The sequence below is a fragment of the Homo sapiens genome, chromosome 11, assembly GCF_000001405.40.
Source record: "Homo sapiens chromosome 11, GRCh38.p14 Primary Assembly".
NCBI classification, from domain to species: Eukaryota; Metazoa; Chordata; class Mammalia; order Primates; family Hominidae; genus Homo; species Homo sapiens.
The window spans coordinates 119,657,253-119,671,640 of record NC_000011.10 but is presented as its reverse complement, the minus strand read 5'-3'; the positions used below and the strand labels follow the sequence as shown (position 1 = coordinate 119,671,640).

The window sequence follows — 14,388 nt, the reverse complement described above, 5'->3', positions numbered from 1 at the left end:
TCTGATGCCGGAGCATTTCCTGCCTGAGGAAGCGCCAGGCATTGGTTTCGGAGGCAAACCCAAACATTCTCTTTGACCCCAAACCTCCAGATCCTAGATCCAGACTGTAAGCCCTAACACTTCACTCCACCTCAGATCTATCCAAAGCCCCCAGCACCAGCCCACCCACCTCAGTCAGAGAACCAGGACCCCAAAGGCATGCAGAGCCCCCACTTCCCCACTGTCTTGGCCAGCCAGGGACCCCAGAAGAGAGGTTACAACCCTTCAGGAATAGGGACAAGCTGCTCCCTTTGTAAGAGGATGTGAGGGAGGCTGGCTGGGCCCCTGCCAGCAAACACAAATGACCCTGCGGCCTGGCTCTTCTCTCTCCTCCCAGCTGCGGCCCTTGCAGCTCTGCTCCTGGCACAGAGACAGGAGCTACTGGCTGAGTGTAACAGCTGGAGGGATGGAGGGGGAGGGGAGGACGCTCCACTCCACGCCAGACAGCCCCTTCTGCTTGCAAATGAGTTAGATCCCCATGCTTCTCCTTTCTTCTCTCCCTCACTCAGTATCCTCACTCGAAAGTCTTTGATGCTGGAAGGTCATCCCAGCCATTCTGCTGCTGCTACACAGGCCCAGCCCTAAACAAAATAACCGGGGTTCTTTGGTCCCAAAAGATCCCCAGGAAAGAGTAAACCTCCTTAAGACTTAAGGAAAAAAGTTGGCTAGGCGTGGTGGCTCACACCTGTAATCCCAGCACTTTGGGAGGCCGAGGTGGGCAGACCACTTGAGATCAGGAGTTCGAGACCAGCCTGGCCAACGTTGTGAAACCCCGTCTCTACAAAATATTAGCCGGGTGTGGCAGTGCGTGCCTGTAGTCCCAACTACTCAGGAGGCTGAGGCACAAGAATTGCTTGAGCCTGGGAGGCGGAGGTTGCAGTGAGCCGAGATCGTGCCACTGCACTCCAGCCCAGGCGATGGAGCGAGACTCTGTCTCAAAAAAAAAAAAAAAAAAAAGGACTTAGGAAAAAGAATTAAATAGAAGGCCTGGAGGAGAAAAAAAGCCTAGTGTCATCTGGTCCCAAGCCACCACACCACTCCTCCTGTCACCCACTCCAGAGAAACAAGGTCCCAGTGGGCCCCATGCAGGTTTATTCGAGTCTCTCCTTACAATACTTGCTCTGCCTAGAACAAGGCTTATCTCTAAGACATAATCTTGCCATTGTAGAATTCATTCTGTCGTCCAACAGATACTTCTTGAACATTGACCACATGACAAGCGGTCTAGGTGCTTGGTATAAATCCATGAGCAAAACAGACAAAAAGTCCCTATCCTTGTGGAGCTTACGTTTTCGCATAGGAGGAAAGACAATAGATAAAATACATTTTTAAAAAATATGTAGGCTGGGCGTGGTGGCTCACACCTGTAATCCCAGCACTTTGGGAGGCTGAGGTGGGTGGATCATCTGAGGTCAGGAGTGTGAGATCAGCCTGGCCAACATGGTGAAATCCCCATCTCTACTGAAATTACAAAAATTAGCCGGGTGTGGTGGCACATGCCTGTAATCCCAGCTACTCAAGAGGCTGAGGCAGGAGAATCGCTTGAACCCGGGAGGCGGAGGTTGCATGAGCCAAGATTGAGCCACTGCACTCCAGCCTGGGCGACAGAGCAAGACTCCGTCTCAAAAAAAAAAAAAAAGTAGTAATTTTGAAGGTGATATTGAGGAGGAAAAAAAGAGAGTAAGGGGATCCCAAGTGCTAGGGACCACACAGGTGGAGTGGGCTTATGAGCTGCAGTTTTAAATAGGGTAGTTGGGGAAGGTCTTGATGAGAAGGGGCTATTTGAGCTGTGTCCCAAAGAGAGTAAAGGAGTGAACCTGGGGGCCCTGGGGAAGTGGCTTTCAGGGGGCAGGGCAGCCCGTGCAGTGTGTGCCAGGAGTGGGGCAAGCCTGCAGGAAAGCGGGAACAGATGACTTCAGAGGTGGGGCGGGGCGTAGGGCAAGCAGAGCACGTTAAGGCTCTAGGGAGAGTCATTGGAGGGCTCTGAGCAGATATGTTACACTTCAACAGGATTTGTCTGGCTGCTGTGTGGAAAACAGTCCACAGAGGGAAAGGATGGAATCAGGGGAGCAGTTAGGCAGCTATTGCAATCAATAATCCAGATGAAAGATGAGAGTATCTTGGATCAGGGTGGTAGTGATGGAGACGGTGAGAAGAGATCAGGTTCAAGGTGCATTTTTTTTTTTTTTTTGAGACGGAGTCTTGCACTGTTGCCCAGGCTGGAGTGCAATGGCACAAACTTGGCTCACTGCAACCTCCACCTCCCAGCTCAAGCAATTCTCCTGCCTCAGCCTCCCAAGTAGCTGGGATTACAGGCACCCATCACTACACCTGGCTAATTTTTGTATTTTTAGTAGAGACGAGGTTTCACCATGTTGGTCAGGCTGGTCTTGAACTCCTGACCTTAGGTGATCCGTCCGCCTCGGCCTCCCAAAGTGCTGGGATTACAGGCATGAGCCACTGTGCCCAGCCTGCATTTTCAATTATAACTTACAAACTAGTTGGGACACCAGTCATTCCTGTGAAACAGATAAGACCGTACACTCTACCATACTGCAATGATGTGGCTTGAGAGGTCCAGAAAATTCAACCTAGTTGAGGAAGATGTAGGAGAGCTTTATTTTTTATTGGGTCTCTGCTGTTGAAGAAAGCACAAATGTAACAATAGTGAGCTTATAGACTACTGCAACACACTGAAATGAGTCAATCCCAAATGATCATGAGGCTGCCACTTCCTCAAACCCTGTCCTCATTCCTGCAGAAGAGAAGAACTTTAGCCATTTGAAAACTGGCAGAAGGACCAGAGCCAGCCATGGTAACTTCTAATTTGCATTTATTTGCAATTTATACAGGCTTTACCATGCTATGTCAGTATGTGATTAATGGAATGACCTTAGCAATTGTCACAACCAGAATGAGAGGTGCAGACCATTAGTACATAAAAATTCGAAAGAGAAAAAGATCACGGTAAACTGGAGAAGAGAAGGCTCCTGAAGAAGGGGCTGGAGAAGTGCAATCGGTGGGGAGGGAGGATGAGGAAAGGCACTCCTGGCGGGGCAAACTGCATGTGTAAAGGCTTGCAGTAAGGAATCAACTTGGATAACAAGGACAGCAAGGAAGGTGAGTTGACCAAACCCAAGATACGGTTGCATGATGGAAGCTTTGAAGGCCAGACTGCACAGCCCAACAGGCAGTTGGGGAGCCATTGCTGGTCTTTGAGAAAGCGAGTGGTTGTGTCTACAGAGTGAAGATTAACCTGGTGACTGCGGGTGGGGTGATTCAAGGCAGGCAGAGGCAAAAGGAAAGTGGGAGATTTAGGAATCGACCACAGCAGTAAAACCTGGCATAAGTTCCATGGTGGTGACAGTGGCGACAGGAAGTTGTATCGAATGGAGAGGGTTTAGAAGGAAGATGGCAAACCAGGTTGGTACAGATGGGTTTTGAAGTGGTGGTGAGAATTCCAAATGAGGGTGTGCTAGAGGTCAGTTTTTCTAATGTGTCCACCTAGATATCAGTTATGTGAGACTGTCTTGGAGGCAGGAGGTATGGGGTTCATGTTCCAGTATGTTGGGAAACATGGCATTTGACGTGTCCCTCTAGTAGTTCACAGTGTGCACGAGAAGGTAACAGGCTCTGATGCTTTTGTCTAAGCCAACATCTCGACCCCCCTATTTTTGCTGACCCTTTGAGCCAATGGTTTGAGATTCCATGGGCCACAGTTTGGGAGATGCTGTGGAGATACAGTCCCAGAGTTGGGCGAGAACTATGTACCCTAAATAATTTGGACAGCCAGCAGGATAAGGGTGACTCCAGAAGTTGATACTAGTCTGTCACTAGGAAAGAAAGCAGAGGGTCAAGGCTGAGGGTCCCAGGACAAAGCGTCCAGCGAGACAGCTGGAACAGAGAAAAGGAGCAACACAGCTGGAGATAGCACTCAGAGAGGAAAGCCGAGAACCACGGAATCTTGTATGGGAAGGCAAGGGACATGTTTCAGAAAAATGGCAGCTCCCTCCATCTGGATGCTTCCTTATCCTCCTGGCCTCTCCAAGTCCGGCCTCCTCCAAGAAGCCTTCTCTAATGCCAAGACACACCACCCCGTTCCCCTGCACCCTGCACTTCCCTGCCTGTTCCCTTAACATCTGCATGTGCTGTCTCTGAGTGTCCTTTGCTTCCCTGGGGAGGCTGTGAGTTTCTCATATCCCGTGACTAGCAGGATAGATGCTCAGTATGTTTGCTGATGGGAGGGATGGATGAAGAGAGGAAGGCAGGTGTAGACAGGAGAGATCATTCAGATCTGGGTGAGAACCGAGGAGGGGGGCAGGCAGGCTGAGTACAGAGGAGGCTAGGTTCTTCCCAGCTGCCTCTGGGGAACCCCTGGTGGAGGCTGCTCCCATCTCGTGGGGAGCAGTTGCGGGGCCCTTTTGAGGGCGGTAAACAGATGGGACCTGGTGAGCCGGGAGATGCTTGAGGTTCCAGGGAGGCTGCTGCGGAGACAGGCGGTCAGGACAAAGATCCCATGGATATGTACTGGGCAGCTGCTGGCTGACCTGCACCGAGGATGGTGGTGGCAGGTGGGGAGCGGGGTCCTCCATGGCAGTGCTCCTCTGCCAGTGCCCACGTGTATAGGAGCCCCTGGGGGGTCCTGGCTCAGCCGCGTGACCTTGGATGAGTGAGTGGCCTCCCCTTCCTTGGGCCCTGTGTTTTCGTCAGCCCTTCCCGCCCAAATTCCTGGAAGGCCTTTCCTCTTTCCTAGAATCTCCACCCTGCTGCAGCCTGCCGAGTGGGATAGCACCCCACACACGCCCCAGGAGGAGGGAGTGGGCTCAGGGAGGAGCATGATTCCCATGGAGTGAGAGATACTGAATCAGAGAGTGAGCTGGCAGCAGTATACAGGCAAACAGTATACGGGCAAACTGGCCCTTTACGTGGGCCTGGAGCAAGGAGGGCCTGAGCGGCTGAGGTCAGCCTTCTGGGCTTGCCCTAGACCCGCAGCCTAGTGGCTCTGACCGAGGCCAGCTGTGGTCTCTGGTGCCACCCTGTGGTGGTGCCAGGAACCATTTCCCTTAGCCTCACCTTAGGGCCTCTTTGGCCCGTGGCATGGCCCTGGTTTCAGCCACCTTCCCAGGCCCTGTAAGGCAAGGGAAGGGGCAGTGTTGGCCAAAGAACAGTACTGTGGCCCGGCCCCACTGGCACAGAAAGCCACCCACCCAGCCTTCTCTCCTGTCCCACCTGCTTCCTTTCTCTTCTTTTCACCTTTCCTGCCTCCTCATTTTGGCTGTGTCCACGGGGCATACAGATTTGCACACTCATGTTCATCATGTCGGCACAGGCATGCAGGCCCTCCCAGCATGTGCTCTCTGGGTGGCAGGCTTGCTATGACGGCAAGCGTGTATGCCTGTGCATGTGCCCACTTGTGTGTACTCGACATTGCCACGCACGCACACACGCACATGCTTTCACCCCCATTTCTGCCGTCCTTGCCCTGTGCTTGTGCCCTGCCATGCTGGTGTCTTACACTTATAACCCAGGCTGGCAGCACTGCCAGGCCCCCACCTTGCCCTGCAGGCCCAGACCACAGCCAAGAACCACAGCCCTAGTTTCTGGCACCTTGGCAGCTGATTGGCACTCACGGGGCATCTCCTGAGCCAGTGCCTGGGAACCTGTTTTCCCTGTGCCCTGCAGGCAGACAAAATCAGGTGCAGAACACCTAGGTGGCTCCTGGTTCTGGGTCTTGGAAGCCAAGTTGATAGTGTTGGGGCAGAGTGACTGCCAGGTGTCTGGCAGAGGGGTATCAGTGACATTTGCACACGTTCTATGTGCAGGAGAAGCAACGATGCATCATTGCTGGGTGGCCTCAGGCAAGTTCTTTAACCTCTGCAAGCCTCAGCTCCTCAGATATCCAATGAGAATGAATGGCATACCTCCTCAGGGTTGTGGCTGTGAATGGCATGGAGTGGGCAGTGTGCTGCAGCTGGAACTGGCACACGTGTCTCACTGCACCATGAATAGGGATTGAGCTGGGCCAGCACCACACCAAGGACAGTGGGGATGGAAGACCCTGGTGCTGTGGGTACTGCCCTCTGCCTCTCCTCTTGCCTGTCTCTCACTCCAGCTACCAACGCTGCGGCATGTTAGGGCTCCAGGATGGGTGGAGTGCTGCGGGGCCTCGAACTGGAGCTGCTCAAACCTGGGGTGCAGACAGCCTGTCCTTCCTGGCCTCTCCTTTCCCTGCCTCCCTCCCACCCCCTCTACACCCCAGGAGCACACGCTGATGCTGTCCCCTCCATCTCTTTTCCTCACCCAGAATTCCCCTACACCCCGTCTCCTCCCGAACATGGGCGGCGCGCCGGGCCGGTGCCCACGGCCATCATTGGGGGCGTGGCGGGGAGCATCCTGCTGGTGTTGATTGTGGTCGGCGGGATCGTGGTCGCCCTGCGTCGGCGCCGGCACACCTTCAAGGGTGACTACAGCACCAAGAAGCACGTGTATGGCAACGGCTACAGCAAGGCAGGCATCCCCCAGCACCACCCACCAATGGCACAGAACCTGCAGTACCCCGACGACTCAGACGACGAGAAGAAGGCCGGCCCACTGGGTGGAAGCAGCTATGAGGAGGAGGAGGAGGAGGAGGAGGGCGGTGGAGGGGGCGAGCGCAAGGTGGGCGGCCCCCACCCCAAATATGACGAGGACGCCAAGCGGCCCTACTTCACCGTGGATGAGGCCGAGGCCCGTCAGGACGGCTACGGGGACCGGACTCTGGGCTACCAGTACGACCCTGAGCAGCTGGACTTGGCTGAGAACATGGTTTCTCAGAACGACGGGTCTTTCATTTCCAAGAAGGAGTGGTACGTGTAGCCCCCCTTCCAGAGCCTCTGTCTGTGACCGCTCCTCCCCAGCCCCTCCCCGCACGCCCCCTGCCCACCCCCCACCTCCCACTCCAGGAGCTGAACAGAGACTTGCCCAGCTGCCCAAAGCCAGCCCCGAACTCCTGGGGGGCCAGGGGAGCCCAGGGCAGCCACGACTTGGCTTTGTGTTTTATTTCCTCCCTCTCCTCCGCCCTTCCCCATGGTGTTGTGTTCGACTGTGGCTTTAGTGTTACTGTATCTTCCCTTTACGGGCCCCACCTGCCTGCCCTCTGTGTAGGGAGCCCTGTTCTCGTCTTGTGTACCTGGGCATCCCTCCAGGGTTTGGGGAGCCAGCCTCCCCCGCCCCCCTACACTGGAATTTGTTTGTGTTTCTTCACTGGGGGTGGAGGGCTCAAGGGGCTCTAAGAGGGAAAAGCTCCCCACACCCCCAGATGCTGCTCCTCCTCCCGGCTAGAGGGAACCCAACACCCACCAGTGAAATCTGATGCAGCTGGGAGTTTGGACCTTGGGTCTAGACAGCTGGTGCGCCCAAGAGGTAGGGGGAGGGGTGCGGCTTCTCCCCAGTTCCCAGGGAGTCTTGTTTGTTAAGCGGGGCCTTGGGCAGTGTTTTCCTGCTGAGGGTGGTTTTACATTTTTTTTCCTCATTGGCCCACAGAGAGTGGAGTTGGCCTAGCTCTGACGCGTCCCCTCTTTATCCCCAATGTGCCCCCTCCATTAGGGGCTCCAGGTGGGCTCCAGCCCACACTTGCTCTCTGCCTCTGCTGACACGTGCACACACACACACATGCACACACTGCTCCTCTCTGCCTGCTTTCCCCTGGAGTCCCATGCCCTGCCCCATCCAGACACTGCCCAAGGCCCACCCGTCTATTTCCACCTCATTCCCCCTTTAAGCTGAGAATGGGGTCTGCCTATAGAAGCTTCCAGAGACAGCTGAGACTGGGTCCCCGGTGCCTCCACCCTAGGATCTCAGGCCTGCCCCAAACTGCTTCTTACAGCGTGGAGGTTTCTCTGATTTCTCCCTTATCTAGCAACACTTGGTTCTTTTGGCTAGTCAGGGCTGGGATCCCAGGGGGATCCACCTGCAGGAGTCAGAGGTAAAGAAGCATCCACACGGAGGGTAGTGGGGAAGGAAGCCCACATGGCAGAAGCTCTGCAAACACAGTCCGAGGGACTGAGGAGTCCATACAATGCCTCACACACAAAGGCCATTGTCAAAGCCTCGGGCCTGGCAGAAAGTGAGGGGGGTGGGGCCGCTAGGCCACCTCCTGCTCAGCCACCCCTGGTCCTCATTCTGGGATGAGGGGAGGGCCTAGGAGAAGCCCTCCCTTTCAGTGCAGATTCCCTTCTTGAATGGGACATTGAGTTCCTATCAGCCACCCCAGACTGGGTCTTCCCATGTATATAATGGAGGAAGACCCCTCCCAGCCCTCTCAGTCCCCCAGCTCAAAGTGCCTCAGTTCCTCCATCTGCTCCCAGATCCCCTGGCACTCTAGACAGGCATGCCCATGGGAAGGACCCTGGGATGGAGAGGCAGGCTTCGCGGCCCTTCATGCCTGCCCACTGGGATTCCAGTTAACTCACCCCAGGGTGTCAGGGGCTCTGCAGGATGGCAAGTGTTGGGGAGGAGGGAGGCAGACCACTCTGTGCCCCACGGGCACTGACCCACCCTGCCATAGGCTTCCTAAGGGAGCCCCCCAACCCCTCCCCTCCCCTCCCTGGTGCTGCTATTGAACCCCCTGCCAGCTCCATTTCTGCCCTGGCAACCCTGGGCCCAGCAGGTGGGTCGTCGTTGTCTGGCCCTCACTGCCCTGGCCCCAGCCCAGGCTGCCCAGTAGCCACGTAGCAGAAGTCTGAAGCCATGCCAGCCCTGGTGCGGCTCTCCCCTCTACACATTTGGGGTACTGGATAGGGTGAAGTTAGGGGAGAAAATTGTGGAGTCTTTCCAGCCACAGGGCAGAGGGAGGTGGAGGAGCTGGGCTGCTTTTCCCAGCAGTATTAGTGTCCCCCAGGACAGGGGACCTTTTCCACATTACATCACTGCCCCATCCCACCTTACAACACTCTGGCCCCTCTGCTTGGTCCCCTTTTCCCCCAGGCAGGAGGCAATCCCAGGGGCCTGCCTGATAGAGGCATTTCCTGTCCCTGTCTCCTCCTGCATCTCCTTTATCCTGCACTGCCACCCTCTATTCCCCATTCTGTGTTGGACTTTGAAGGCCCCAAGCCCAGCCAAAGCACTGAGTTCCCCCTTAAGACACCTCCACACCCTCCCCACAAGCAAAGCACAAATTTTGGGGTCCATGTAGCATGGGCCACGTAGGAGGCTCCTGACTTGCCAGGGGCCCAGCCTCAGCATACCCACCGAGCAGCTGCCAGCCTGGGCTGAGGGTGGGCATGAGGCAGGAGTCAGCACTTGGACCTAGGGATGTGAGGTTTTCTGTGCCCCAAGTTTGTGGGAAGGTGGGCACTACTGCTGGGCCCACAGACACAGCCAGCTGGCAAAAGGGAGGTCTAGCCCAGCAGAGAGATGAGGACATTTTGCTTCTCCTTCATGCCCACAGCATGAGCTGAGCTTCTGCTTTGCTGGAAATGAAATAAACTTGGTATGAATTGTGCCAAGGCCTCCCCAGTTGTCATCCTGCCTCTTGTTGCCCTCCCTGTCCTTGCCCCCCACCCCACACCCATGCCCCTGTTTCCTTACAGATTTTGATATTGTTCTAATGTGTAATAGAACCAGCCGAGTCCCCTTTTATCAGAAGGGTCTGAAAAGCAGCAGCACAGAGTAGGTGAACACAGGCCTGCAAGTGCGACCACCTCAGACCCAGTACGTGTGCCCACAGTGGACACACTCACACCTCCAACACACCCACGCGCAGGCATGTGTACACGCATGTACACACGCATGCATGCACAGCCAGATGGCCACTCAGCACAGATGTGGCAGAGGGAATGGTCTGATCCTGCTGAAAGCCATTAAGGAGAAACGAATTTCCCAGTGCCCGGGCTGCAAGAGAGCCTTATAGGGGCCCTGTTTCCTGGGCATGCGCTTCCTCTGCCAGCCAACCCCCACTTGCCCAAGTCACTGGTGCAATAACTTTTCTGCCTTCCTCAGAGCAGAGAAATTGGGAATTGTGTTAGGTGGGTGTGGGCAGCTCTGCTGAGCCAAGCAGACACGGATGTCCCCTCTTCTGGGAGGAGGGTAGTGCTCCCAGGCCTCAGGAGTCCAGACAGAGACCCCCAAAGCCTGACTGCCAACAGAAACCCTCTCCTAGTGAGGGGCAGGTGGGTGTGCCCCAGGTCCCCACACCCACAGGGAGGCTTCACACACTGCCCAGTACCGGGGATGCCAGGAGGCAGGCCCCTCTGCTGCTGCCACTGCTGCCAACACTGCCCAGCTTGTGAGGCCAGGAGGAGCCCCTGTCCCACTCGGTGCTGCTGCTCTTCTGACCCCTGCTGTGAGGAATGGGATTCTTGGTCGAAAAAATTGGTTTTCCTTTTTTGTATAAATGAAAAGAATCCAGGAGAAGCTGCCACCCTCCCCTCCCAGCGTGATGCGCTACCTTGCTTCGGCGTCTTGTCGCCCTTTCCGCCTTTGGTCCAGGGACAGCCCAGCAGATCCTCCTGGTTCTGACCTGGGGGGTGTTTGCATCACCCCCTTTTACTTGTATTAAAAAAAAATGATGGGTTGAAAATGTACTGAGGATTAAAAATGTACTTTTTTATAAATAAAGTGTTTAAAACAAACTGGTTTGCATCCCATCACTGCCCTGCTCCATGGCAGTGGGGGCGGGGAAGGCGTGGAGCTGGAGGGGATGGCACAGAGGGATAGTGAGGGGAAGGGACCCCCCACCCCATGTCCAGGTTCCAGGGTTCCAGAGGAGCAGGAGCCCTGAGGGAGACTGCTCACAGGCTGCCCCGGAACCATCTTCCATGCAAGTGAGAAGACCATGGACTTTGACGACAGCATCGCAGAGGGAGGGGTGGGCGTCCACAGACACAGGAGGGAGGCCTTTAAGAAAGTAAGGCCTGAGAGGGCTGGGGGTGCACACAGCAGAGAGGGAAAGCCCTGTGCCGGCTGGTGCCCTCCTAGGGGTACGGGTGCCTCCTGCCCCAGATTCCAGTTCCCCTATCACCCACTCCTGCTGTCCTGTTCCTGCCACGTCCCCTCCTGTGGCTGTTTGGAGAAGAAAACCAGCAGTGTCACGCCTGCCGTGTTAGGTCCCTGGGGACGGAGAAGAGCTGAGAGCTTTATCCTTTCATCTTCTATTTCGAAGCTACTGCCCCGCCCCATCCCCTGCAAGCTCTCCCTGTGACCCACCCCTCCTGTACCCCCCCATTTTTCTCCAGGGGGCTGGTTGTTTGGAGAGAAGGTCTTCTTGTTCCTCGGTTACCTCCCCGCTCTCCCCACCAGCACCATCTGCTTCCCATCTCCTGGGCTGGAATGCAGGACAAATCGATCCTGGGGGTGGGAGTGGCAGGGGCTTCAGAGACTGCCCCATCCCAGCCATCCCTCCGTCACCCCCCGCACCCAGTAGCATCTCCTTTCACTGAAATCCACACCAACGACCCCTGGGAAAGGGAGGGGGTAAAATGATAGAGCCAAGATGGCTGCTTAGCAGAAAACCCTCCTGCCCATTGTGGGCAAGGCCACATCCTCCACACCCAGGATTGGGGCTGGACGGGCAGAAGTAGGCGTGCAGAAGGAGAAGCCAGCAGCTGTTGGCAGCTGGCTGAGCCCCCGCTGGAAGGCCAAACCCAGCATCCTAGAAGGGGCTGTGTTTAGATGTTGATATTCGAATGAGATGCAAATTGGTTGTTTAAGCGGTCACTTCCTCAGTTTTCCAGGCTGTCCGTTTAAGTTAATTTTTAATTTGTGCAGGCAATAAATGCGTAATTACATTATTAATACATTGGAAGAGAGCAGTGGACAGAACGTCCTAATTGGCATTTAACTAGAGCGTTCCGGCAAATTAGCCAAGACTTTCTCCAGCAGCGGAAGGAGGGCAAGCCAATTAGTCTCAGGCACAACCCCTCTGGACAGAGCTTTGGGCTGGAGAAGCCAGACTCAGTCCTTTCCCCAGGCCTTGGTGCCAGGATGTCCCCTTACAGACATCCCGGCCCAAAGGATACTGGGAGTCCAAGGGCATACTCTTAGTCTTCTAGTCCAGTTGGGCCTTGGAAGAACTATCTGCCAGGCTGTGGCTCCTTCTGCCCAAACCACAACCCTTGCCTCCATCCCTCCAGCACCACCCTCAGCAGAGCAGAGGACCAAAGGCCTGGAAGCAGCACCTGTCTGAGTGTCTAAGTTCCCCCCTGGGATGTGCCCACCATATCCCTATCTTGGCTGGTGGGCCCAGGACTAAGCTCCTCTCTGGAGACCGTGGAGGCCTTTCTCTCCGTTCCCAATCCTACCCACTCCTGGTTGCAGATGGTTAAGGAGATAAACTTGATGAATTGAGGAATTCATTTATTCACTTACAACACATTTTTGGCCACTCTGGCACTGCAATGCTGTGACAGCCACACCCAGCATCCCAGCTCTAAGGAATTCCGAACGCTGGGTATCCCCAATTCCAAAATGGCCACAGGCTGTCGCAGAGCTGTGTGTAAAGCGCTGGGGTAGCACAGGACGGGAGTGGGTCATTGTGTTTGGGAGGATCTGAAGCGACATTTCACCTGGGCCTTGAAGGATGTGCAGGAGTTCTCCAGACAGAGATCTGTTAAGAGTATTTCGGGCAGCCTTGAGAATTTACCATCTTACAGTCGTTGTTCTAAAAGAGATCATCCTACCCCAACACACTCATTCTGCACATGGAGAACGAAAATCTAGAGAGGAAACTATGATTTGGCCCACGAATGCGCCAATCACGCTCAAGAGCACAGCCACATCCTGAGAGCAGCAGGAGGGGAGGAACCCAGGGAAAGGGGTGGCACCGGCCTGACTCCTGGGGGGATGCTAGATCTGGTACAAACTTCTGTTCCCTTACAAAGTAGCAAGAACCCCCAGTGGGATATAAACTGAGTTTGCAGGATCCATATTTGGTGTTAAGTGGAGTTGTCGGAGTCAGATGGGGCTCATCGGGGAAGACTTCCTGGAAAAGGTGCTATCTGACGTGGTTTGAAGAATGAGAAGGACATGGATTGGGTGGGAAAGTTGGAGGAGGAAAGCCCTCTGAATGCTTGAGGGGAGTGCCAGCTAGACCTGCTTCTGAAACCACCTCTGTACCGGTGCCCACAGCTGGAGGCTCTGCCCCCACATCCTCTAGACACTATGCCGAGCAGCACGATGCAGAGCAGTCCTTGGGTTCTACCTAGTTGTTGGCTTCTTGGACCCCAGACTCTATTCTCTCCCCGGGTTTACCGGCTTGATGGCAGAGCCAGGCCAAGTCCTGCTCTATGGGGGACTGCGGTTCCACTCCCCATCCCCAGAACTACTCCCAGATGAGGCGCTGCAGTCAATGTCCTCACCCCAGCCTCCCTTCTGCCAAGCATACCTCCCACAGCACACACACAGCACATACACACTCCAGGAGCTGGGGCCTCATCTATGCTGGCCCCTCTGGCAACTCTGCATCCAAGCTCATCTTGAGCTCCATGGAGAAAAGCACATGGCTGGCCGCTCGGCTTGAGAACCAGCCGCAGGGCATCATCAACATACATCACAGGCCCCATTGAGCGCAGAGAACTTAACCCAGGCTACACTCCAGAATCATCTGGGGATTTTTAAAAATCAGGCCCTGCCCCACGCCAATAGGTTCAGAGCCACTGGGATTGGGATTGGGGCCTAGACAGACTTTTTTTTTTTTTTTTTTTTTGAGACGGGGTCTTGGTTTGTCACCCAGGCTGGAGTGCAGTGGCACAATCACAGCTCACTGCAGCCTCGACCTCCTGGGCTCAAGCAATCTTCTTGCCTCAGCCTCCCAAGTAGGCTATGGGTACCTGCCACCATGCCCAGCTAGTATTATTATTATTATTATTATTATTATTATTATTATTTTATAGAGACAGGGGTCTCCCTATGTTACCCAGGCTAGTCTCAAACTTCTGGCCTCAAGCAATCCTCCCAAAGTGCTAGGATTATAGGTGTGAGCCCCGTAACAGGCTTTTTTTTTTTTTTTTTTAAAGACAAAGTCTCACTCTATCACCAGGCTAGAGTGCAGTGGTGCAATTTCGGCTCACTGCAACCTCTGACTCTCTGGTTCAAGTGATTCTCCTACCTCAGGCTCCCCAATAGCTGGGACTACAGGCACGTGCCACCACGCCCAGCTAATTTTTTGTATTTTTAGTAAAGACAGGGTTTCACCATGTTGGCCAGGATGATCTCGACCTCCTGAACTTGTGATCCACCCACCTCGGCCTTCCAAAGTGCTGGGATTATAGGCATAAGTCACCGCACCTGGCCCTAACAGGCGTATTTTTAATAAGCTACCCAGGAGATTCCAATAGACAGCCAGCGTGGAGGAAGAGGCCGCCCCAGGTGTCA

At 54.9% G+C, this 14,388-nt stretch overlaps 1 protein-coding gene across 2 annotated transcripts in view, besides 2 other annotated features; it reads left to right on the top strand.

Moving 5' to 3' along the window:
* NECTIN1 (nectin cell adhesion molecule 1) overlaps window positions 1-14,388 on the top strand; it is a 91,103-nt gene that overhangs the window by 57,560 nt on the left and 19,155 nt on the right. The window contains exon 6 of one of the 2 annotated variants that reach the window (NM_002855.5): window positions 6,344-10,649. The exons of the other annotated variant lie outside the window; for it this stretch is intronic. Within the exon in view, the coding sequence (NP_002846.3) occupies window positions 6,344-6,894 (551 nt within the window). The 3' untranslated portion in view covers window positions 6,895-10,649. Of the gene's footprint in view, window positions 1-6,343; window positions 10,650-14,388 lie in introns of those variants that run through there. 2 annotated transcript variants of the gene reach the window in all.
* Window positions 5,970-6,506: an enhancer, noted in NCBI's record as "H3K27ac-H3K4me1 hESC enhancer chr11:119535845-119536381 (GRCh37/hg19 assembly coordinates)". NCBI's record gives its function as "activates a minimal SCP1, AML or CMV promoter by ChIP-STARR-seq in naive H9 embryonic stem cells {active_cell/tissue: H9 hESC(naive)}" and the evidence as "EXISTENCE:reporter gene assay evidence [ECO:0000049][PMID:30033119]".
* Window positions 6,507-7,045: an enhancer, noted in NCBI's record as "H3K27ac-H3K4me1 hESC enhancer chr11:119535306-119535844 (GRCh37/hg19 assembly coordinates)". NCBI's record gives its function as "activates a minimal SCP1, AML or CMV promoter by ChIP-STARR-seq in naive H9 embryonic stem cells {active_cell/tissue: H9 hESC(naive)}" and the evidence as "EXISTENCE:reporter gene assay evidence [ECO:0000049][PMID:30033119]".